Below are 19,959 nucleotides of genomic sequence, written 5' to 3'. Positions count from 1 at the left end.
GGCAGGAGCCCCATGCTCCCACGCCAGCCACAACCACCCAGCCATGTCTCCAGACCTCAGCATCCCTGTTTTCTCCGGGGCCCAGGAAGCCCCCCAGCCCCTGCAAGCTCAAAAGTGCCTGCTCCCACTCCCCGGCCTCTCCCTGCTCCCAGTGTCCACTTTGATTTTGGAGCAAAGTTGTGGTCAAGTCCGGGCACTGTTGCAAGCTTGCTGAGTGTGTGCATGCTCAGGGCAGTGCTGACACAGCAGCCCCCCTTGCCACCTGGGCCCCCACAGGACTTTGGTCACTGACTAGTGCAGAAGGGAGGCCTGGGGGCACTAAGGGCAGCTCTGCATGGGGCTGCAGGTGTCCCTTGGTGCAAACAGCCTGGGTGCCATGAATGGCATGTTTATAGCTGGAGGCAGACAGGTTCCTGGGTGGAAAGGGGCGGGTCCCTGGTGAAACCCCACTTTCAAGCCAGGGCCAGCCTGAAGCCTGTGGGCTGGACTGCTAGTTCTGGGTGAAATCTGTGACCTGGACTGAGAAATTATGGTGCTTTTTCTGGGCCCACCCATGGCTACCCATGGACCAATCAGCACACACTTTCTCCCTTCTGAGCCCATAAAAAGAACAGACTGAGTCAGACTCAGACAGATGTGAGGACCACCAGATGCGGGAAAGAACTACCCACTTCAGGTCTCTTTGACTCACCAGGACTACCAGCAGCAGGAGGGAGCTACCCATGTCGGGTCTCCTTGACTCATCAGGACAACCTGCCTATGGAAAGGAGCTATCCACTGTCAGTCTCCTCTGCTGAGAGCTGGACACTCGGGATGACATGCCTGCGGTACCCACTTTGGGTCTCCTGAGAGCTGTCGCTCAATGAAGCTTCTCTCCACCTTACTCACTCTCCAGTTGTCTGTGTACGTCATTCTTCCTGGATGCAGGACAAGAACATGGGACCTGCTGAATGGCGTGACTGAAAAGGCTGTAACACAAACAGGGCTGAAACTTTGCCCTCAACCCCCTGGCCCAACACACTGTGGGCAATGAGAAGGAGAGAAGAGCTGCTGCCCTTCAAGGGACCTCAGACCTAGGGGCTCCCCAAGACAGGGCTGTGACATCCTCTTTGTGGCTCTGTCGTTCCTGGCATCTCCAAGCTTCTGGGTGCCACTGCATTCCCCTCATCCAGACGTGGATGCCCACAGTGGAAGCCTCGTGTAGTACATCTGGTTCAGCTGCAGCCTCTGTCAGCAGCTGTGCGGGTGCCTGGAACTGCCCACCCTGTTGCAGCTGGCACACCTGGCTTTGCACAGTGGCTGGACCCTGAGCTTGTGCACACACCCCTCACTGTTCTGTGCCTGGCTTGCCATTGGGAGGCATGGGATCTGGGCCAGCAGCACAAGCCAACCACAGCCTGCCAGGCCGAGTGGGCGGAACAAGCCCAATGGGCGCAAGCAATACTCATGCAGAAGATGCCACGGGTCACAAAGGTTTTGGGCTGGCAGAGCAATACTCCAAGGATCTCATGACAATATTTTGGGGTAAAATATTTTGGTTTCTTTTATAGCCAATCTATTAGTATTTGAGAAAAATGCCTGATTTCAGTGACTTAGATATTATGCTCCCATTACCTTCCATTTTCTTTACCTTTTCTTGTTTAGGCAAGTGACTTAAATGCTCTAGGCCTCCATTTCTTGAGCTGTAAAATAAGTGTCTGAAGAAGCTTATCTAAATAATGTGATGTTATATTATGTTATGACAGGGTCTGACTGCCACACTCAGGCTAGATGGCAGTGGCACAACCATGGCTCACTGAAGCCTCAACTTCCCAGACTCAGGTGATTCTCCCACCTCAGTCTCCTGAGTAGCTGGGACTGCAGGTGCGCACCACCACACCTGGCTATTTTTGTATTTTTTGTAGAGACAGGGTTTTGCCATGTTGCCCAGGCTGGTCTTGAATTCCTGGGCACAAGTGATCTGCCCACCTTGACCTCCCAAAATGCTGGAATTACAGGTGTGAGTCACCATGCCCAGCCTAAAGAATGTCATTTCTAATGACAAAAAAAACAGACTTATTTTTCTCCCCCATCTATCAAGAGATATTTTTAAAATCATGTAAATTTTTAATACATTTGATAAAACACCATCAAGCTTCTACAACTGTCTCATCCCATTTATAGGCTCCATGAGGGAATGCATAAATTATCTTAATATTAAAAAAATGCACAATTATGAACAAAATACAAAATATTTTACCCCAAAGTATATGTCTCAGCATATTTCAAGATGGCTATTCAAAGGGGTTGCAAACACAAGAATAGCTGAAAGGCTGTCTATTTGTGGGGCAGATTTGTATCTGCAGAGGAAATTTACATTAGTAAAGTGAAATAAACAGCAGAGGCGAACAGGCCTTTTATGAACACTCCTCTCCTTAGATCTTGGAATAATTATCTCACAGGAAAAGGAGACTAGGGGTCTGACAAAGAAACTTGTACCATAGGCAACCACATACTCTTTGAGAGCTGCTACCTGTCAAGTTTCATCTGTATAACAAGACCACCTTTGCTCCATGCCTTTCCTTCTCTCTCCCTCCCATAAACTGTCCTGCAGTGCTTCAAGCCCCTATTCTTTCTGTGACCTAAGGACAGTATAAAACCTTGAGCCATCTGGCACTTTCATTAAGTTTTCATATTTTGCAGGACTCTTGTGCACATGATAAATGTGTGTGCTTTTTTTCTGCTAATCTGTCTATTATCAGTTTGCTTTATAGACTCAAATTATCAATGCTTCAGAAGGAAGGAAAGGAAATTATCTTCCCCCTTACAGTTAGAAAGTTGGAGTTACACAGGATGAAAAGGGCTAATGTGCAGAATGATTACTATTATTAATGATACTGTAATATATACTGAAAATTTGCTAAGACAGTAGATTTTAGGTTCTTTTGCCATGAGCATACAAAATGGTAACCGTATAAGGAATGAAAATGTTAGTTGCTTTACTGCAATAATCATTACATTAAGTATATGTATATTAAAACATCGTATTTTACACTTTAAATATGTACAATAAAAAAGATTTTTAAAATGCCACCTTTGGCCAGGTGCTGTGCCTCATGCCTGTAATCTCAGCACTTTGGGAGGCCCACGCTGGTGGATCACCTGAGGTCAGGACTTCAAGACCAGCCTGACCAACATGGCAAAACCCCATCTCTACTAAAAGTAGACACAAAAAAATTAGCCGGGCATGGTGGTGTATGCCTTAATCCCAGCTACTCGGGAGGCTGAAGCAGGAGAATCACTTGAACACGGGAGGCAGAGGTTGCAGTGACTCAAGATTGCACCACTGAACTCCAGCCTGGGTGACAGAGTGGGACTCCACCTCAAAAAAACAAAACAAAACTATAATGGTAAACATTAAATAGAAAATGTTTTTAATGGCGCAATATTAAAAGATTTTCCCCCTAAAACTCTCAAACTATTTTGAAATATAATGTCAAAATAACCTGAAAAATAACTTTCCAAAAAGTTCATTTTAATTAACATCAACCCAGAAGCCAAAGGGTTCTTGTATCCTGGAACATTTTTCAAAAAGAAAAGAAAAAGAACTCATAATTCTGACATCTTTCTTTTACTATTTATGAAACTTAAATTTAATGTCAAAACTTACATAAAGTTCAATTGAGATAATATCAGGAGCAAAAGTTGCAAAAACTATAATAAACCGAAAGAACAATCACAATATAAGCCAATATTGTTTAAAGTCTGTGTGCCAAGAAATATATTACATATATTACTTACTTCTGTCATGTACCTTTAAAGAAAAAACTCTAATTTGTCCAAAATCACACTATTAGTAAAAACAAAGGATAACCTCTGTCTCACTCTGACTTTCCTAATCTCCGTGCTTGCCACCTGACTGAGCTTCATTTTCTCTGTTTACAAGAGTGACCACCCAATAATTAGTTAGTATATCTACAAAAATATTTGACATATTTAGTGGAAGATATTATTTTATTATCATCTCCAGAGTAACACACATTTCAGGCTTCCTCCCAAATCCCCTCATCTGGCATTTCCTGAGCTACAAACCCATAAAAAAGGTTTAGTATGTTACTTTGGATATTCTAATGTTCAACCAAATTCAGGAACCATTGAACTAGATTTAAAGCTTTTTTCAATAGGAAAACAGCATCAATTTTAGGAAAACTGTGTTAAAAGAAAACCTTCAGACAAATTAAATCTAACAGAGTTTAACTGAGTAAAGAATGATTTGTAAATTGGGCAGGCCCCAGAATCACAGCAGATTCAGATACTCCAGCTTGGTCAGCTGCGTGGAGGAAGATTTATAAACAGAAAAAGGAAAGTGGTGTACAGAAGACAGAACTGAGGAGTAGAGACAGCTGGGTCAGTTCTAGCTCAGTGTTTGTTTGCCTTATTTGAACATGGTTTGAACAGTTGTCCATCCTTGATTGGCTGAACGTCAGTGATTGGCACAAGAGTAGAGTACAGTATGTTAACACATCCAGTTAGTTTGTGGTTCACTACCTATAGAGAAGCCTTTATGCTACACTTAAAATATGCAAGGAAGGAGCTTTAGGCTAAACTTAACAATTGTATAATAGCTTAATACCCAGAGAACAGTTATATAACAGCACTGAAATATTTGCAGTCAGGAGAGGATTTTGAATTTGCAATTTGGGATTTATAAGATTTGAAGTTTTAAACAAGACTAGCCTTAACTTCTGTTATTATTTGAGGATTATATCAAATTAATTAATTCAAGAAACTATGCATGGTTTCCATAGTAGACTCTATGTTTAATGACTCTCAATTAATTATCTGTGGTCATTAAAGTTCCAAGTTAAAGCTTTCCGTCAAGAATTAGTTTGTCATCAAAAGAAGATTAACCTTATGAGTAACTATAACAAGGTAATGATATCCAGATTAGAAGGTCTGGACATTACACAGATGCTACTTTGTCAAAAAAGTTTATTACAGTCCATGTGCATTTATACTTCTTTAGATAAATTCTAAATATTTCTGCCATAAATTGAGATAATATAAAGAACCTAGAAAAAATTTCCTAAATCACAAAATTCTCTGAAAATACACATTCTTAAAATATACCAAAATGTGTATATGATTTCTGTGGTAGACTTTAAGACTATTAACAAATATTTTGCTTCTTCTCCTGAGCACATGGCAGAATTAAACTTTTTGTATGCACTTGAATTTTGGCATAGCCATGTGACTCTCTTTGTCCCATGAAGATGTGAGCAGGAGTGTTGTGTATCACTACCAGAAGAAAGCCTTAAGAACCAGTGTATCTGTATTACATTTTATTTTTCTCTGACATGCAACTTGAAATGTTTCAGATGATGGTTACATTGTCCTTGGTCCTGGAATAAGAAGGACATGAAGGAAGCTCACAGGTAGCTTAGGATGGACATGCTATGTGGGCAAGAAATAAGCCTTTGCTACTTTAAGTCCCTAAGTTGTAGAGATTGTTCATTATCACAGCATTACCTCACTTATTATGTCTGACTTATTTGCAAATCAGAAGCTCTTATGCCTTTTCTTAAAATATATGCCAATACCAAAATGGCCCTTTTAAAATTGAGTTTGTAATTTAAAACTAATTTTGTAAATAAAAAACAAAAAAAACCCATTGCAATAACAACCTACAAAGATAACTCAAGTTTCTCTATATGTATAATTTCTTAATAACTATGAAATGCAACACGAAGAAGTAAAAATTCAGCTTTCAATCTTGTATGTCGGTTTGAGTTATGCAAAAGGAATTGAGTGGAATTTAACCTTGTTAACAATATGAAGCAGTGATCTTAAGACTCTTGAAAAGAGGGGCAAACCCTTCAGGCTGTAATCAATAGCTATGGCAGCAAAGGAGCTGTTATGTGTGTTCTGTTTAAAAGACAAATTGCTCTTTTATTGACAGCCACTCTCTGCTGTGTCCTATTTGAATGATGAAAAGGAACCAGCAGGGCTCCAAAATTAGCAGAGAAAGCACATCCATCTCAGAGGGAAAACACACAAAGTTACAAACATTTTTCTGTAAAAAAAAAAATGGTTATACAAAACACCTGATAATTAAGGCTCTTTTCATAGCAAGTTAATTCCAAAACGATGAACCTCTTTTTATAACTGGAAGGGTGATAGCAGCAGTGATTTTCCATTTCTCCTCCCAAGGACGTTCCTGACATAAGATTAATTTCACAGAAACTTCCCTCATCTTTCTTTAAACTTAATATTCTCATCCTTTAGAAGCATTTCTTATTCATTTTAGAAGCTTAGGAGGTACTGCCATGCAGGGATTGCTCATAATGACATAAAAATTGGGAGCAAAAGTGCCCATTTTTAAATTCAGGTTATGTAAACTTACCAATTTCCTTTAAATAGATATGAAGCATCACCCTATAGCAGCTTGCAGTGTCTGGCACATAGTAGGCAATCTACTCTCTTCCTAATATATGAATAATGCATTTCATCTTAATTTATGATTTCATATTTATATACCAATATACCACATTTTGTATTGTATAATAGGACAACTGTTCTTTGACATAAATTATAAATGTTTAGGGGAAACAGTCCTAGGTATTATGTGTCAGTTCACATCTCTCACATACATAAGATTTAAGTTCACATTCCATAAAAATGAGAGATTTAAGATATTTTTATAAGACACAGTCTTGCCCCACACAGAATATACAACTAAAGGACACAAAAGGTGTGCTCTTCCAAGACCAATTTCTTAAGCAAAATAACTTAATGATTTTACTACTAAAATATGCATGGTGCCAATCATAATTTAATGTAATACCATACTACTGATATTGAAAATCCCATACGAAGTATATCAATTAAATCCATAAAATACATACTTTATTTTTATTAAGCAGAATGCGTAGTTCTTTACTGTACCTACTTTTGCAACCTACAACTCAAACTAATAGACACATTTGCTACAGAAGTCAGATTCCTCTTCTAAAGTCAGACATGAAAAGGGAGATAACTATAATGATGATGATAATTAACATGATACATGGATAGATGTGAATAACCAATTACAGAATGTAGCTCTTTTGAGCTAGCAGTTATTTAAAGACATGATAGATGACATATTTCAGAGATGATAGATGACATATGACACATGACATATTTCTCTAATGATGTCCGTCACAAATAAAGTTCTGAAATAACAATATTTTCCCAATAGAAAGCTGAATGAAACTATATCAACTACCATAACACAATATTTATGCATTCAACAAATACTTACAGCACAAATGTTTTATGCACAAGAGGGGAATACACAGAGTTAGAGTGAGTCAGACTCTGGATTCAAACCCAGGCTGCTGCACTAACTAGCTGTGTGACCTGTAGGCAAACACTAAATCTACATCAGCCTTGTAAAATTATTAATAGCTATGCTATACACTTTTTATAAGAATATAACAGACTGGGCACAGTGGCTCACATCTCTAATCCCAGCACTTTGGGAGGCCAAGGCGGGCAGATCACGAGGTCAGGAGATCGAGACCATCCTGGCCAACACAGTGAAACCCCACCTCTACTAAAATACAAAAAAGTTAGCCAGGAGTGGTGGCACATGCCTGTAGCCCCAGCTATTCGGGAGGTTGAGGCAGGGGAATTGCTGGAAGCTGGGAGGCAGAGGTTGCAGTGAGCTGAGATCGCGCCACTGCACTCCAGCCTGGCGACAGAGCAAGACTCTCTCTCAAAAACACACACACAAAAGAATATAATAAAATGAAGTATATTGGTCTCGTGGCACTGAGTCTGCTGTAAATAGGTACTCAATAAATGTCAGCTACCGAGGTGCACTTTACTAGTGCTTACCAATATCCAAGTTCTTTTCCTTTCAGGAACATAGATTATATTTCCCAGCCCCCTTACAGTTAGGCTTTGCCATGTGACTAGTTATAACCAATATACTATGACCAAAATTGTCAGCAAAAGTAAAAAAAGAAGACATTTTGTATAGTGGAACTATAAGACTGAACAGCTGTCATCACCCTTGTTTTCTGAGTAATTATGCCTAACAAAGCTATATCTCAATCAAAAGCAACATGTAGCACAAGTGAGTGATCAACTTTCATTCTGTTAAGCCAGAAATTGGTATCAGGAATGCGTTACTACTCTGGATAAACCTAAATTATGTGGCATTGAATAAGGAATTAGATGTAAGGTTGAAAATTGCAATTTGAGAATGCAGGAAGAAAACTGTCATGAAAGGTAAATAGGAGCACAGATTATGAAGCTAACGATCTTGTTCTTTTAGGGAAAAAGAGTAGACAGTTGAATGGTAGTAGACTGTATTTAGCTCTGATACTGGAAAGATTTGAAAGGAATTATAAGAAATGAATGAGCTCAGGAATGAACTGGTCAAATTACAAGCAGAAATAGATGGGAATAGAGAGATATGTGATCCCACCTATGAAGGACAAGCTTGTATCAGATAAACCCATCTAACAAAATCAGCCACAGGTCATCAGAGAGCAGCAGGAAGACAATACTTGAGTGGATGTTATCTGATAGAAAAGAGAAATGGCTTGTGATGAGTCCAATATTCTGCATTGTTTTGCTCTACGTCGGTCAATTTTTCATCAGTGCAAACAAACTGAGAAACTGAATAAAAAGAAACAACCGGGAAGCATGTTACCTTAGCAGAATTTTTACAGTCTTACAGGATTTGGAAGAAAAAAAATGAAGTTCAAGGTACAAAGGAAACTAGGATTAAGGAGTCAAAATTCAGAAAGAATAGAGATGAAGTGGAGACTGATAGCAGCACTTTATCCTTAAGGAGTTTGCTGACTCATAAGTAGAATGGGGCCAAGAGAATGAGAAGTCAAGCAGAAAGCTGATGCTAAGAGGCAGACAGCGCAACGCAACTTTCTGCAGTCTCACAATACTGGTGTTGGTGGGGTTCCCCGAGACCACTCTTGGGCTCAATGAATCACTAGAAAGACTCACAGGACATAAAAGCTGTTGTATTCACGCTTACGGTTTATTACAGAAAAAGGATACACTTTGGGATCAGCAAAGGGAAAAAGGAGTATAGGAGAAATCTGGGAAAAACCAGGAGCATTTTTCAAGTGTTTCCTCTAGTAAAGTCAAACAAGGACTTGGTGCATTCTCCCAGCATCTGTGTGTGACAATATGTTCAAAGTGTTGCCAACCAGGAGAGCAGATCTGAGCTTTGAGTCCAGGGTTTTTATTGCGGATTAGTCACATATATGTGCAGGGCCTGCATGATCGACTATCTACTCAGACTCCAGCCTTCTCACAGCAAAAACAGGCATTCACCATGAATCACACAGGATAAAGTTATCTGGTAACACCGGTCCAGTGTGGCCCAAGGAATCAGGAATACAAAAACAATCTAATCAGGCAGAATATTCCAACAGCTCAAAGGTTGTATCCCAGGGGCTTGGGCAAGGCCCAGTTCTGAAAATCAGCTTTTATCTAGAAGGTACAGGGTTTGAAAAGCTTGGCCTGCTGTTAATCATTTTCTGCATAGTTGGGAAAACAAAGGTTGTGATCGAAATGCCCCCCAAGGATGCTGGACCCAGATAATCATCATAAGTTTTAGCTTATGATTTAGTAGGGGCCTCAGAATGGTTATATAATACGGAGAATGTTTCCCCAAAGGTATGAACATTCTAATCCCTGGAATTTTTGAATTTCTTGGGTTATATGGCAAAGAGATTTTAAGGAGACAGATGGAATTAAGATTGCTAATCCGCTGACCTTGTGATGAGAACATTATGCTGAATTATTTGTTTGAGCCCAAAGTAATCTTGTGATACCCTACCTTGTTTTAACCTGATTGACTCTCACTTAGCTGAGAGAGCCGGACAGACTCCATTTTGGTTTATTCACTTGCAGCCCCTTATCCCCCTCCCTTAAGGACATAACTGGTGCAAGCTGACTCCAAGCACATTCAGGAATCCAATTACTGGTAAGATACTGAGGCAAGCTATATCAGCAGCCCCTGGGAACGCACTTGGTTGATGGTACCCAAAGCCCCTGCATTTATCTCTGTGTGATAGTTTAAGCCCCTGCATCTGGAACTATTTATTTTTTCTGTAACTGTTTCTGTAATCACTTATCTTTTAACTTTTTGCTTGTTCTGCTTCGGTAAAATTGCTTCAGCTAGGCTCCCCCTCCACTTTTTAGACCAAGGTATAAAAAGAAATCTAGCCCCTTCTTCAGGGCCGAGAGAATTTTTTAGTTCTAGCTGTCTCTCGGTCGCCGGCAATAAAGGACTCCTGAAGTAGTCTCGGAGTGTGGTGTTTCTCTATAACTCTCTCGGTTATGACACTTTGGAGGCCCCAGCGAGATCCGCCACCGGGTGAGGGCCGGACTCGTTCCGGGCTCCCCCGGAGCAACGGCGGGCTTACAGGGTAGGCGCCACCTAAAGATGCTCCAGGGCCCCGTAGGCCACCGTCTTCCAGAGGGGAACGGATCAACTGCTGGTGTGCCCAACCAAATTCAACTCCTGAGTCCTCAGTCTCCGGTCCCGGGAAGGTAAGTCAGATCTGACTCTGTCTCCCTGGGAGGGAAATGGCTCTGACTAGGTTTCTCCCTCAGACTCTGTCCACACTCTAGGATGCTGGAGGACAGCGTCCTGGTTTCTGTCAGTCTTCTCTGTTAAGTCTAGTCTCTCTCTATCTCTTCTCCTTCTCTCGTTCAGGTCTCTAGGAGACCTCGGTTTTAAACGGGTATAAAAAATTGTAATAAACTCTGTGAGTGAGTGAGTACATGTGGAGTTCAAGGGCTTGTGCTTGAATTTCTAGTTTGTAGCTCCATGGCGAAAGCTATGGAGTTTCAGAGGGCCCTCACCTGCGGTTCCGTGGCGACCTCATAAAGCTTAGGGCAGCATCGGGCATAGCTGGATCCGAGCCGGGGGTTTATACCGGCCTGCCAATGCCAGGAGGAGCCTAAGTCCCCGCAAGGGGAGCAGCCAGGCAGGCATCTGACTGATCCCATCACGGGACCCACTCCCCTTGTCTGTCTATAAAAATTGCCATACTTGTTTATATACCCCCGTGTCTATTGTCCTGTTTGGTGTCTGTCTAAATTTCGTAGGTCAGGTCATCGATACTGCCCAAGACGACTGGGCAAGGACTTCTTCAAGGTCCTCAGTACAGATCTTCTATCCCAGGAGGTCAAATCTCTCATTAGTCATTTGGGCTGGCCATCCCAGTCCTGTCTTTTCTGTCAGAAACAAATCAGGTGTTGTTATGGGAAAGGGTGTGGAAGACATTCGCCTGTTTGGAATTTCTGGCACCATAAAGATTGCTGGTGTTTGGATTGCCATACCCCACGCCCCAATGACTGGTCCACCTCCTCCTTAGACTAGTGGTGGATCCAATATAGCCACCCTGCTGATCTCCTTGCTCACCTTTTCTGTCATCCTGTAACTTTTCCCATGCCCTTAAATAAGGCACTGTGCAGAGAAACCTACGCCCATACTGCTTTACTCCGTCTGGACTCTTATTTTACCCCTCCGTGGCTACTCGCCAACCTTTGGGAAGATCCGAGTGGCCCCTTTCCTCCTCATCGGCATCCTTTACCCCGCACGTCTCGTTTCCCTGTGTCGCAGCAAGTCCAATGCCTCCAAGACTTGGCTCTGTTCTCCCTCCTTAAACCCTTCAAAGAAAGGGCCGAGTTCAAACTTTTTGCCTTTGAGTAGTGGAAACACCAAAGATATTTGGGCCATAAGTCAAGAAGAAGAAGGTGGGGGTCCCCTAGGTCCCACTGGCTGAGGATCCCACGGAGCCGCCTCTTGTCCTCTCCCTAGATCTCAAAGCTTGAGAAGACAGGCCTTATGTGGCAAGAAGCGTTGGCTATAGCTGTTTTCCTACTTCTTCTGGTTATAATACTTCTGTTCTTCTGATTCAGCAGCCCCCCAGGCCAGGAATATCTCTATCCATGCTGGGTTTAATATTTCTGCTTAAACCTTGTTAATTTGCCTCCAGAATGGGAAACTCTTCTTCCCGGCCCCGTAGAGATTGGCGCACTCTCCAATATATGTTGCAGAATTTCTCTCTAGGCTTCTCAGATGATTACGGAGTCCACCTTAAAAAGGGCAGACTCTGGACACTCTGTGAAGTAGAATGGCCAAAGTTTGGTAACGGGTGGCCCCCAGAAGGGTCACTGAATCTCACAATTGTTCAGGCTGTGTAGCGGGTCATTGCTGGAACTCCCAGACACCCCGATCAGTTTCCCTACATTGATCAATGGCTAGATTTGGTCTGGAGCCCTCCTCCACGGCTCTGCTCATGCACCATTCATGATCCCACCTCCAAGGTCCTTTTGAGCCGGACCAAACTTTTGCCCCAACCCTCCCCTCCCTCGGCTCCTCCTGTACTGCCTCCTTCTGAAGAAGAGGAAAATTTTCTTCACCCATGTCTGCCGCCCTATAACCCTCCTGCTCCCCCAGAATCTTCCCTTGTCTCCTCGACTACGTCCCCTGTGGCCTCTCTCCCTATAGCCACCCAATTACAGCCTTGGCTGGAGGAGGTGGCCCCCCTCCTCCCACTGAGAGAGTCCCAAATCCCCCCGGGCAGTGAGTGTTCTGCTCCATTTTTAGTTTATGTCCCCTTCTCTACTTCTGACCTGTACAACTGGAAGGTTCATAATCCCCCCTTCTCTGAAAAGCCCCAAGTCTTGACCTCACTGATAGAGTCCGTGCTCTGGACCCACCAGCTCACCTGGGATGACCGTCAGCAACTCCTTTTAAACCTTCACTTCTGAAGAGAGGGACCGTATCCAAAGAGAGGCCAGAAAGTATTTCCTTACATCAGCCAGTAGACCAGAGGAGGAAGCCCAAGACCTCCTTGAGGAGGTTTTTCCCTCTACCTGGCCTGATTGGGATCCAAACTCCTCAAGTGGGAAGAGAGCTTTGGATAATTTTCATTGGTATCTCCTTGCAGGTATCAAGGGAGCCACTCGAAAACCCATGAATCTGTCGAAGACAACTGAAGTGGTCCAGGGGCCCGATGAGTCACCAGGAGCGTTTCTAGAATGCCTCCAAGAGGCCTATTGGACTTATACCCCTTTTGACCTGGCAGCTCCCGAGAATAGCCGTGCTATTAATTTGGCATTTGTGGCTCAGGCAGCCCCTGATAGAAGAAAGTTACAAAAGCTGTAGGGATTTGCTGGAATGAACACCAGCCAACTTTTAGAGATAGCCCAGAAAGTTTTTGACAATTGAGAGGTTAAAAAGCAAAAACAGGCAGCTCAGGCAGCTGAAAGGGCTGCTGACAAAGCATCAAAAAGACAGGCAAAAATCTTCGTGGCTGCCATCCAAGAAGCCAAGACAGAAGGGCCCCCATCACAGAGCACTGGCCAAGGGATCCCGGGTCCCTGCCAGAAAGGCCAAAAGCTGAGCAGGCTCCCCTACAAAGAAACCAATGCACTTATTGCAAGCAGATTGGACACTGGAAAATGGAATGCCCATTAAAACCAGAAGAAAAACCAGAAGAGAAAAAGGTCCTCACCCTCCCTGCTGCGGAGGAATCTGATGATTGATGGGGCCGGGGCTCCCTCTCCCTTGGCCCCTGGGAGCCCATGGTGACTGCCACACTGGGGGGCCAGCCTATACGCTTCCTAATTGACACCGGGGCGGAACACTTGGTACTGCAGATACCCTTGGGCAGTGTCTCTAATAAAAAGGTGGCTGTGCAAGGGTCTATGGGAGCTATTCAGGAATATCCTGTCACCCACTCACGAGAGGTGAGTTTGGGACAGAAAAGAGTAACCCACTCATTTCTTGCAGTCCCAGAGTGCCCCTTCCCCCTCCTCAGACGAGACCTACTTCATAAGCTACAGACGTCCATCTCCTTCTCGGCCCAACAAGCTCACATCATGTTAGGGGACACAGCACCCCCTACTGCTCAGCTTCTGCTAACCACCCCTCTGTCAGAGGAATATCTCTTAGTTTCACCCTCACAACTGCTGGGAAATAGTACTAATCCTCTCCTACTGGATTTACAGACTCTGTTTCCCTGAGTCTGGGCCGAATCAAACCCCCCAGGAATGGCAAAGCACCATCTGCCAGTAGTTGTAGAGCTCCTGGCCACTGCTGCCAGTCCAGGTAAAACAATATCCTGTGAGTCAGCAGGCTAGAGAGGGAATCGATCCCCATATTCAGCGACTATTACAAGCTGGTATACTCCCACCATGTGAGTCCGCCTGGAATACTCCATTTTTGCCGGTCCAGAAACCCGGAACAAATGATTACCGGCCTGTACAGATTTGTAGGAAGTTAACAAGTGGACAGTTACCATCCATCCAACTGTGCCTAACCCTTATACTTTACTCAGCCTGCTCCCGCCCGAACATACAATGTATACTGTCCTTGACTTAAAGGATGCTTTCTTTGCTATTCCTCTGGCCCCCAAAATCCAACCTGTCTTTGCTTTTGAATGGACAGATCCTGGCTCGGGAGACACCACCCAATTAACCTGGACTCAATTACCCCAGGGTTTTAAAAACTCCCCTACCCTTTTTGGGGAAGCCCTCCAACAGGATCTTATACCATTCTGAGCCAGTAACCCTCACTGCACTCTTCTCCAGTATGTAGACCACCTGTTATTGGCTATTAAAACTACTGACAGCTGCCTGCAACATACTAGGGACCTACTTTACCTCCTTCAGGAACTCGGGTATCGGGTCTCGGCCAAGAATGGCCAGCTTTGTCTTCCCAGAGTTTCCTACCTGGGGTACGAGATAAACAAGGGAAAAAGGGCACTCACCAGTGCTTGAAAGAAGGCCATCCTGCGAATCTCCACTCCCACCACCAAAAGACAGGTACATGAATTCCCGGGGGCTGTGGGACAGTCACCTATGGATATTAGGGTTCGCGGAAATCACCAAGCCCCTTTATACCGCTACTGGAGTTAATGGCCCGCTAGTTTGGACTGACAAAGAAGAACAGGCTTTTCTAAACCTGAAAAAGGTATTAACGGAGGCCCCTGCTCTTGTCCTCCCAAATATCTCAAAACCATTTCACCTTTTTGTTCATGAAAGCCAGGGAGTCACTAAAGGGGTACTCACTTAGACTTTGGGACCATGGCAATGCCCAGTGGCCTACTTGTCTAAGAGACTAGACCCTGAGGCCTCCTGGTGGCCAAGTTGTCTGTGAGCTGTAGGGGCAACAGCAAGCCTGGTCCAGGAGGCTGATAAACTGACTCTGGGCCAGAATTTAACCCTCACGGCTCCTCATGCCATAGAGAATTTGCTACGAAGTGCCTCTGGCAAATGGATGTCGAATGCTCGCATCCTGCAGTATCAGAGCTTACTGTTAGATCAGCCTCATTTAACTTTCTCTCTCACAAGGTGTTTAAATCCAGCTACCTTGCTCCCTGATCCACACCTTACCACACCTGTCCATGACTGCCAAGAACTGTTAGAGACTACAGAAACTGGGCGACCTGATCTCCAAGATGTGCTTCTAAAGGAGGCAGATACCACTGTGTTTACAGACAGCAGCAGCTTCCTTAAACAGGGAGTACGAAAGGCTGGTGCGGCCGTTACTATAGATTCATATGTACTGTGGGCCCAGGCACTGCTGGCAGGTACTTTGGCACAAAGGGCTGAATTGGTTGCCCTCACTCAGGCCCTCTGATGGGGTAAGGACAAATGTATTAATATCTGCACTGACAGCAGATACGCTTTTGCTACTACACATGCACGTGGAGCCATCTATCAAGAGCGAGGGCTACTCACCTCCGCGGGTAAAACTATAAAAGACAAAGAAGAAATTTTGACCCTGCTTGAAGCTGTTTGGCTCCCTCAGCAGGTGGCTGTAATTCACTGCAAAGGACATCAAAGAGAAGACACGGCCGTTGCTCGAGGTAACCAAAGAGCAGATTCTGCAGCTTGAGAGGCAGCTCGGCTCCTGGTCGTGCCTTTCACCCTGCTGCCCGCTGTGTCCTTTCCGCAACCAGACTTGCCAGGCCACCCAGAATACTCCCCAGAGGAAGAAAAACAAACTTCGGATCTTCAGGCCAGTAAAAATCAGGAAGGTTGGTGGATTCTTCCTGATTTCAGAATCTTCATGCCCCAAGCTCTCGGGGAAGCTTTAATCAATCATCTACATTCTACCACCCATCTGGGAGGAGTAAAACTGGCCCAGCTTTTAAAGAGCCATTTCAAGATCCCCCACCTTCAGGACTTAACTAACCAAGCAGCTCTCCAGCATACGGCTAGTGCTCAGGTAAACGCCAAACAAGGTCCTAAACCCAGCCCACGTCACTGCCTCCGGGGAGGCTCGCCAGGAGAAAGGTGGGAAATTGACTTTACGAAGGTAAAACCACACCGGGCAGGATATAAATACATCCTGGTGCTACTAGACACCTTTTCTGGATAGACTGAGGCATTTGCCACCAAAAACAAAACTGCTACCATGGCAGTTAGGCTTTTATTCAATGAAATCATCCCTCGACATGGACTGCCTGTTGCCATAGGGTCTGATAATGGACCAGCCTTCACCTCGTCCATAGCTCAGTTGGTTAGCAAGGCATTAAACATTCAGTGGAAACTCCATTGTGCCTATTGACCCCAGAGCTCTAGACAAGTAGAATGCATGAACCACACCCTAAAAAGTACTCTTACCAAATTAATCTTAGAAACTGGTGAAAATTGGGTAAAGCTCCTTCCTTCAGCCCTTCTTAGAGTAAGATGCACCCCTTGCCAGGCTGGTTTTTCACCTTTTGAAATCATGTATGGAAGGGCTCCGCCTGTCTTGCCTAAGCTAAGGGATACCCATTCAGCAGAAATCTCACAAGCTAATTTGTTACAGTACCTGCAGTCTCTCCAACAGGTACAAGACATCATCCAGCCACTTGTCCGGGGAGCACACCCCAATCCAGTTCCTGACCAGACGGGACCCTGCCACTCTTTTCAGCAGGGTGACCTGGTGTATGTTAAAAGGTTCCAGAAGGAAGGACTCACTCCTGCCTAGAAAGGATCTCATACTGTCATCCTCACCACGCCGACGGCTCTGAAAGTAGATGGCATTCCTGCTTGGATTCATCACTCCTGCATCAAAAAGGCCAACAAAGGCCAGCAAGAAACATGGGTCCCCAAGCCCGGGCCAGGCCCCTTAAAACTGCGCCTAAGTCAAGTGAAGCCACCAAATTTATTCTTTTTATTTACCTCTTTTGTTTGTTTATGCCTGTTATGCCCCCTGCCCCTTCCTACTCTTTTCTCCTCACCTCTTTCATGACAGGACGTGTTTGCCAACACCACCTGGAAGGTGGGAACCTCCAAGGAAGTCTCTTTTGCAGTCGATTTATGTGCTTTGTTTCCAGTGCCTGCCCGTACCCTCAAAGAGCAATGCAATCTGCCGATCATAGGAGTAGGGAACGTCGACCTCGCTACAGGGCTTGGACACACCGGAAGCCAGACTGGATGTGGAAGTTCCAAGGGTGCAAAGAAAGGACTCCAGAGCATTAACTTTTACCTCTGTCCTGGAAATCACCCCGACTCTAGTTGTCGAGATTCTTACCAGTTTTTCTGTCCTTACTGGAGGTGTGTAAACTTGGCCACTTACTCTGGAGAATCAACGAGGTCCTCAACCCTATCCATAGCCCGCACTTCCTGTTCTAGACAGTGTACTATGGGAAACTGCAATCTTCTTACTATAACTGTCCATAACCCTAGTTTAACTCAGTGGTATTACGGCATGTCATGGGGATTAAGGCTTTATATCTCAGGATTTGATGTTGGAACTCTGCTCACCATCCAGCAGAAAATCCTGGTCCCATGGAGCCCTCCTAAGCCAATCGGACCATTAACTGATTTAGGTGACCCAATGTTCCAAAAACACCCAGACAGGGTCGATTCAACTGTCCCACCAGCATTCCTGGTTCATAGACCTCAGCTGCAACGACAACACCTCCAACCCAGTCTGATGTCCATTCTGGATGGGGTACATCACCTCTTTAATCTCACCCAGGCTAGACTAGCCCAAGATTGTTGGTTATGCCTAAAGGCCAAGCCCCCATATTATGTTGGATTGGGAGTAGAAGCCACACTTAAAATTAACTCTTTTTTTGTCATACATGCCCCCATGTCCTTACACTAGGAGACATGTCAGGGAACGCCTCCTGTCTAATTAGCGCCGGGTACAACTTACCTGCTTCTCCCTTTCAGGCTACCTGTAGTCAATCTCTACTTACTTTCTTAAATGCCTCAGTCTCCTACCAGGCACCCAACAATACTTGGTTGGCCTGCACTTCAGGCCTCACTCGCTGCATCAACGGGACTGAACCTGGACCTCTCCTATGCGTGTTGGTTCATGTACTGCCCCAGGTCTATGTCTACAGTGGGCCAGAAGGACAACCTCTCATTGCCCCCCGCTGAGTTGCAGTTAAGGTTTCGCCAAGCTGCCCCACTCCTTGTACCCCTTCTAGCCGGCCTTAGCACAGCTGGGTCAGCAGCCATCGGCATGAGTGCCCTGATTCAAGGAGAAACTGGATTAATATCCCTATCTCAACAAGTAGATGCTGATTTAAACAATCTCCAATCAGCCGTAAATATACTACATACCCAGGTAGAGTCTCTAACTGAAGTAGTTCTTCAAAACTGCCGAGGCTTAGACCTGCTATTTCTCTCCTAAGGAGGTTTATGCGCAGCACTAGAAGAAAGTTGTTGTTTCTATGCAAACCAGTCTGGAGTCATAAAAATACTCTTCAAAGAGTTAGAGAAAATCTAGATAGACGCCAGCAAGAACGAGAAAATAACACCCCCGGTACCAAAATATGTTCAACCGGAATCCATGGCTAACTACTCTAATTACTGGGTTGGCGGGACCTCTCCTCCTCCTCTTGTTAGGTTTAGTCTTCAGGCCTTGCATGTTAAATTGGTTTCTTAACTTTATAAAGCAACACATAGCTTATGTCAAACTTATGTATCTTAAAACCCAATATAACCCCCTCGTTATAACTGAGGAATCAATCATTTGATTCCCCAAAAACATGAGTGGGAAATGTGATACCCTACCTTGTTTTAACCTGATTGACTCTCACTTAGCTGAGAGAGCCAGACTCCATTTTGGTTTCTTCATTTGCAGCCCCTTATCCCCTTCCCTTAAGGACATAACTGGTGCAAGCTGACTCCAAGCACATTCAGGAACGCACTTACTGTTAAGATACTGGGGCAAGCTGTACCAGCAGCCCCTGGGAACGCACTCGGTTGATGGTACCCAAAGCCCCTGCATTTATCTCTTTGTGATACTTTAAGCCCTTGCACCTGGAACTGTTTATTTTTCTGTAACTGTTTCTGTAACCATTTATCTTTTAACTTTTTGCTTGTTCTGCTTCTGTAAAATTGCTTCAGCTAGGCTCCGCCTCCACTTTTTAGACCAAGGTATAAAAAAAAACATCTAGCCCCTTCTTCGGGGCTGAGAGAATTTTTTAGTTCTAGCTGTCTCTCGGTCGCCGGCAATAAAGGACTCCTGAATTAGTCTCAGAGTGTGGCGTTTCTCTGTAACTCACTCGGTTCCAACAATCTGTGATTACAGGGCCCTTATATGTTGAAGAGGGAAGCAGGAGCGAGAGCGTCAGAGACAGAAAAGCAGATGTGATAAGGGAAGCAAAGTTTGGAGTGAATTGGGCCAATGTTTTTAAGCCTTAGAGATTGAATGCTTTTGAATATAGATGATGGACCCCAAGCTAAGGGGTAAAGGCAGTCTCTTTCAGAAGCTGGAAAGAGCAAAAAGCAAAAAAAAAAAAAAAAAGAAATTCCCTAGAATTTTCAGAAGGAAGATATCACTGACAACAGCTTAATTTTAGCCAAGTGAGACTCATTTCAGTTTAATGATTTCTTGATGTTTGAAATGCTTGTTCCCTGGTGCCATAAAGAAATTGCACTTGAACATAAATTTATTTAGTAAGGCCATTTTTACTTCCTGCGGAAAGGGTA

At 44.2% G+C, this 19,959-nt stretch overlaps 1 long non-coding RNA gene across 2 annotated transcripts, besides 1 other annotated feature; it reads left to right on the top strand.

Annotated features, from left to right (window-relative positions):
* LOC105378308 (uncharacterized) lies at positions 633-19,506 on the top strand. 2 transcript variants are annotated; one of them, XR_945968.3, is made up of 4 exons: positions 633-1,524; positions 9,910-9,982; positions 10,201-10,551; positions 12,963-19,506. It is a non-coding gene; the product is annotated as an uncharacterized LOC105378308 (long non-coding RNA). The 2 variants fall into 2 exon arrangements; XR_945967.3 differs by having other exon boundaries at positions 9,910-10,551.
* Positions 889-1,414: an enhancer, noted in NCBI's record as "H3K27ac hESC enhancer chr10:54724279-54724804 (GRCh37/hg19 assembly coordinates)". NCBI's record gives its function as "activates a minimal SCP1, AML or CMV promoter by ChIP-STARR-seq in primed H9 embryonic stem cells {active_cell/tissue: H9 hESC(primed)}" and the evidence as "EXISTENCE:reporter gene assay evidence [ECO:0000049][PMID:30033119]".
* Positions 19,507-19,959: the final 453 nt, after the last annotated feature.

The sequence above is a fragment of the Homo sapiens genome, chromosome 10, assembly GCF_000001405.40.
Source record: "Homo sapiens chromosome 10, GRCh38.p14 Primary Assembly".
In the NCBI taxonomy this organism is placed as follows: Eukaryota; Metazoa; Chordata; class Mammalia; order Primates; family Hominidae; genus Homo; species Homo sapiens.
This window is presented reverse-complemented; position numbering and strand designations above follow the sequence as displayed.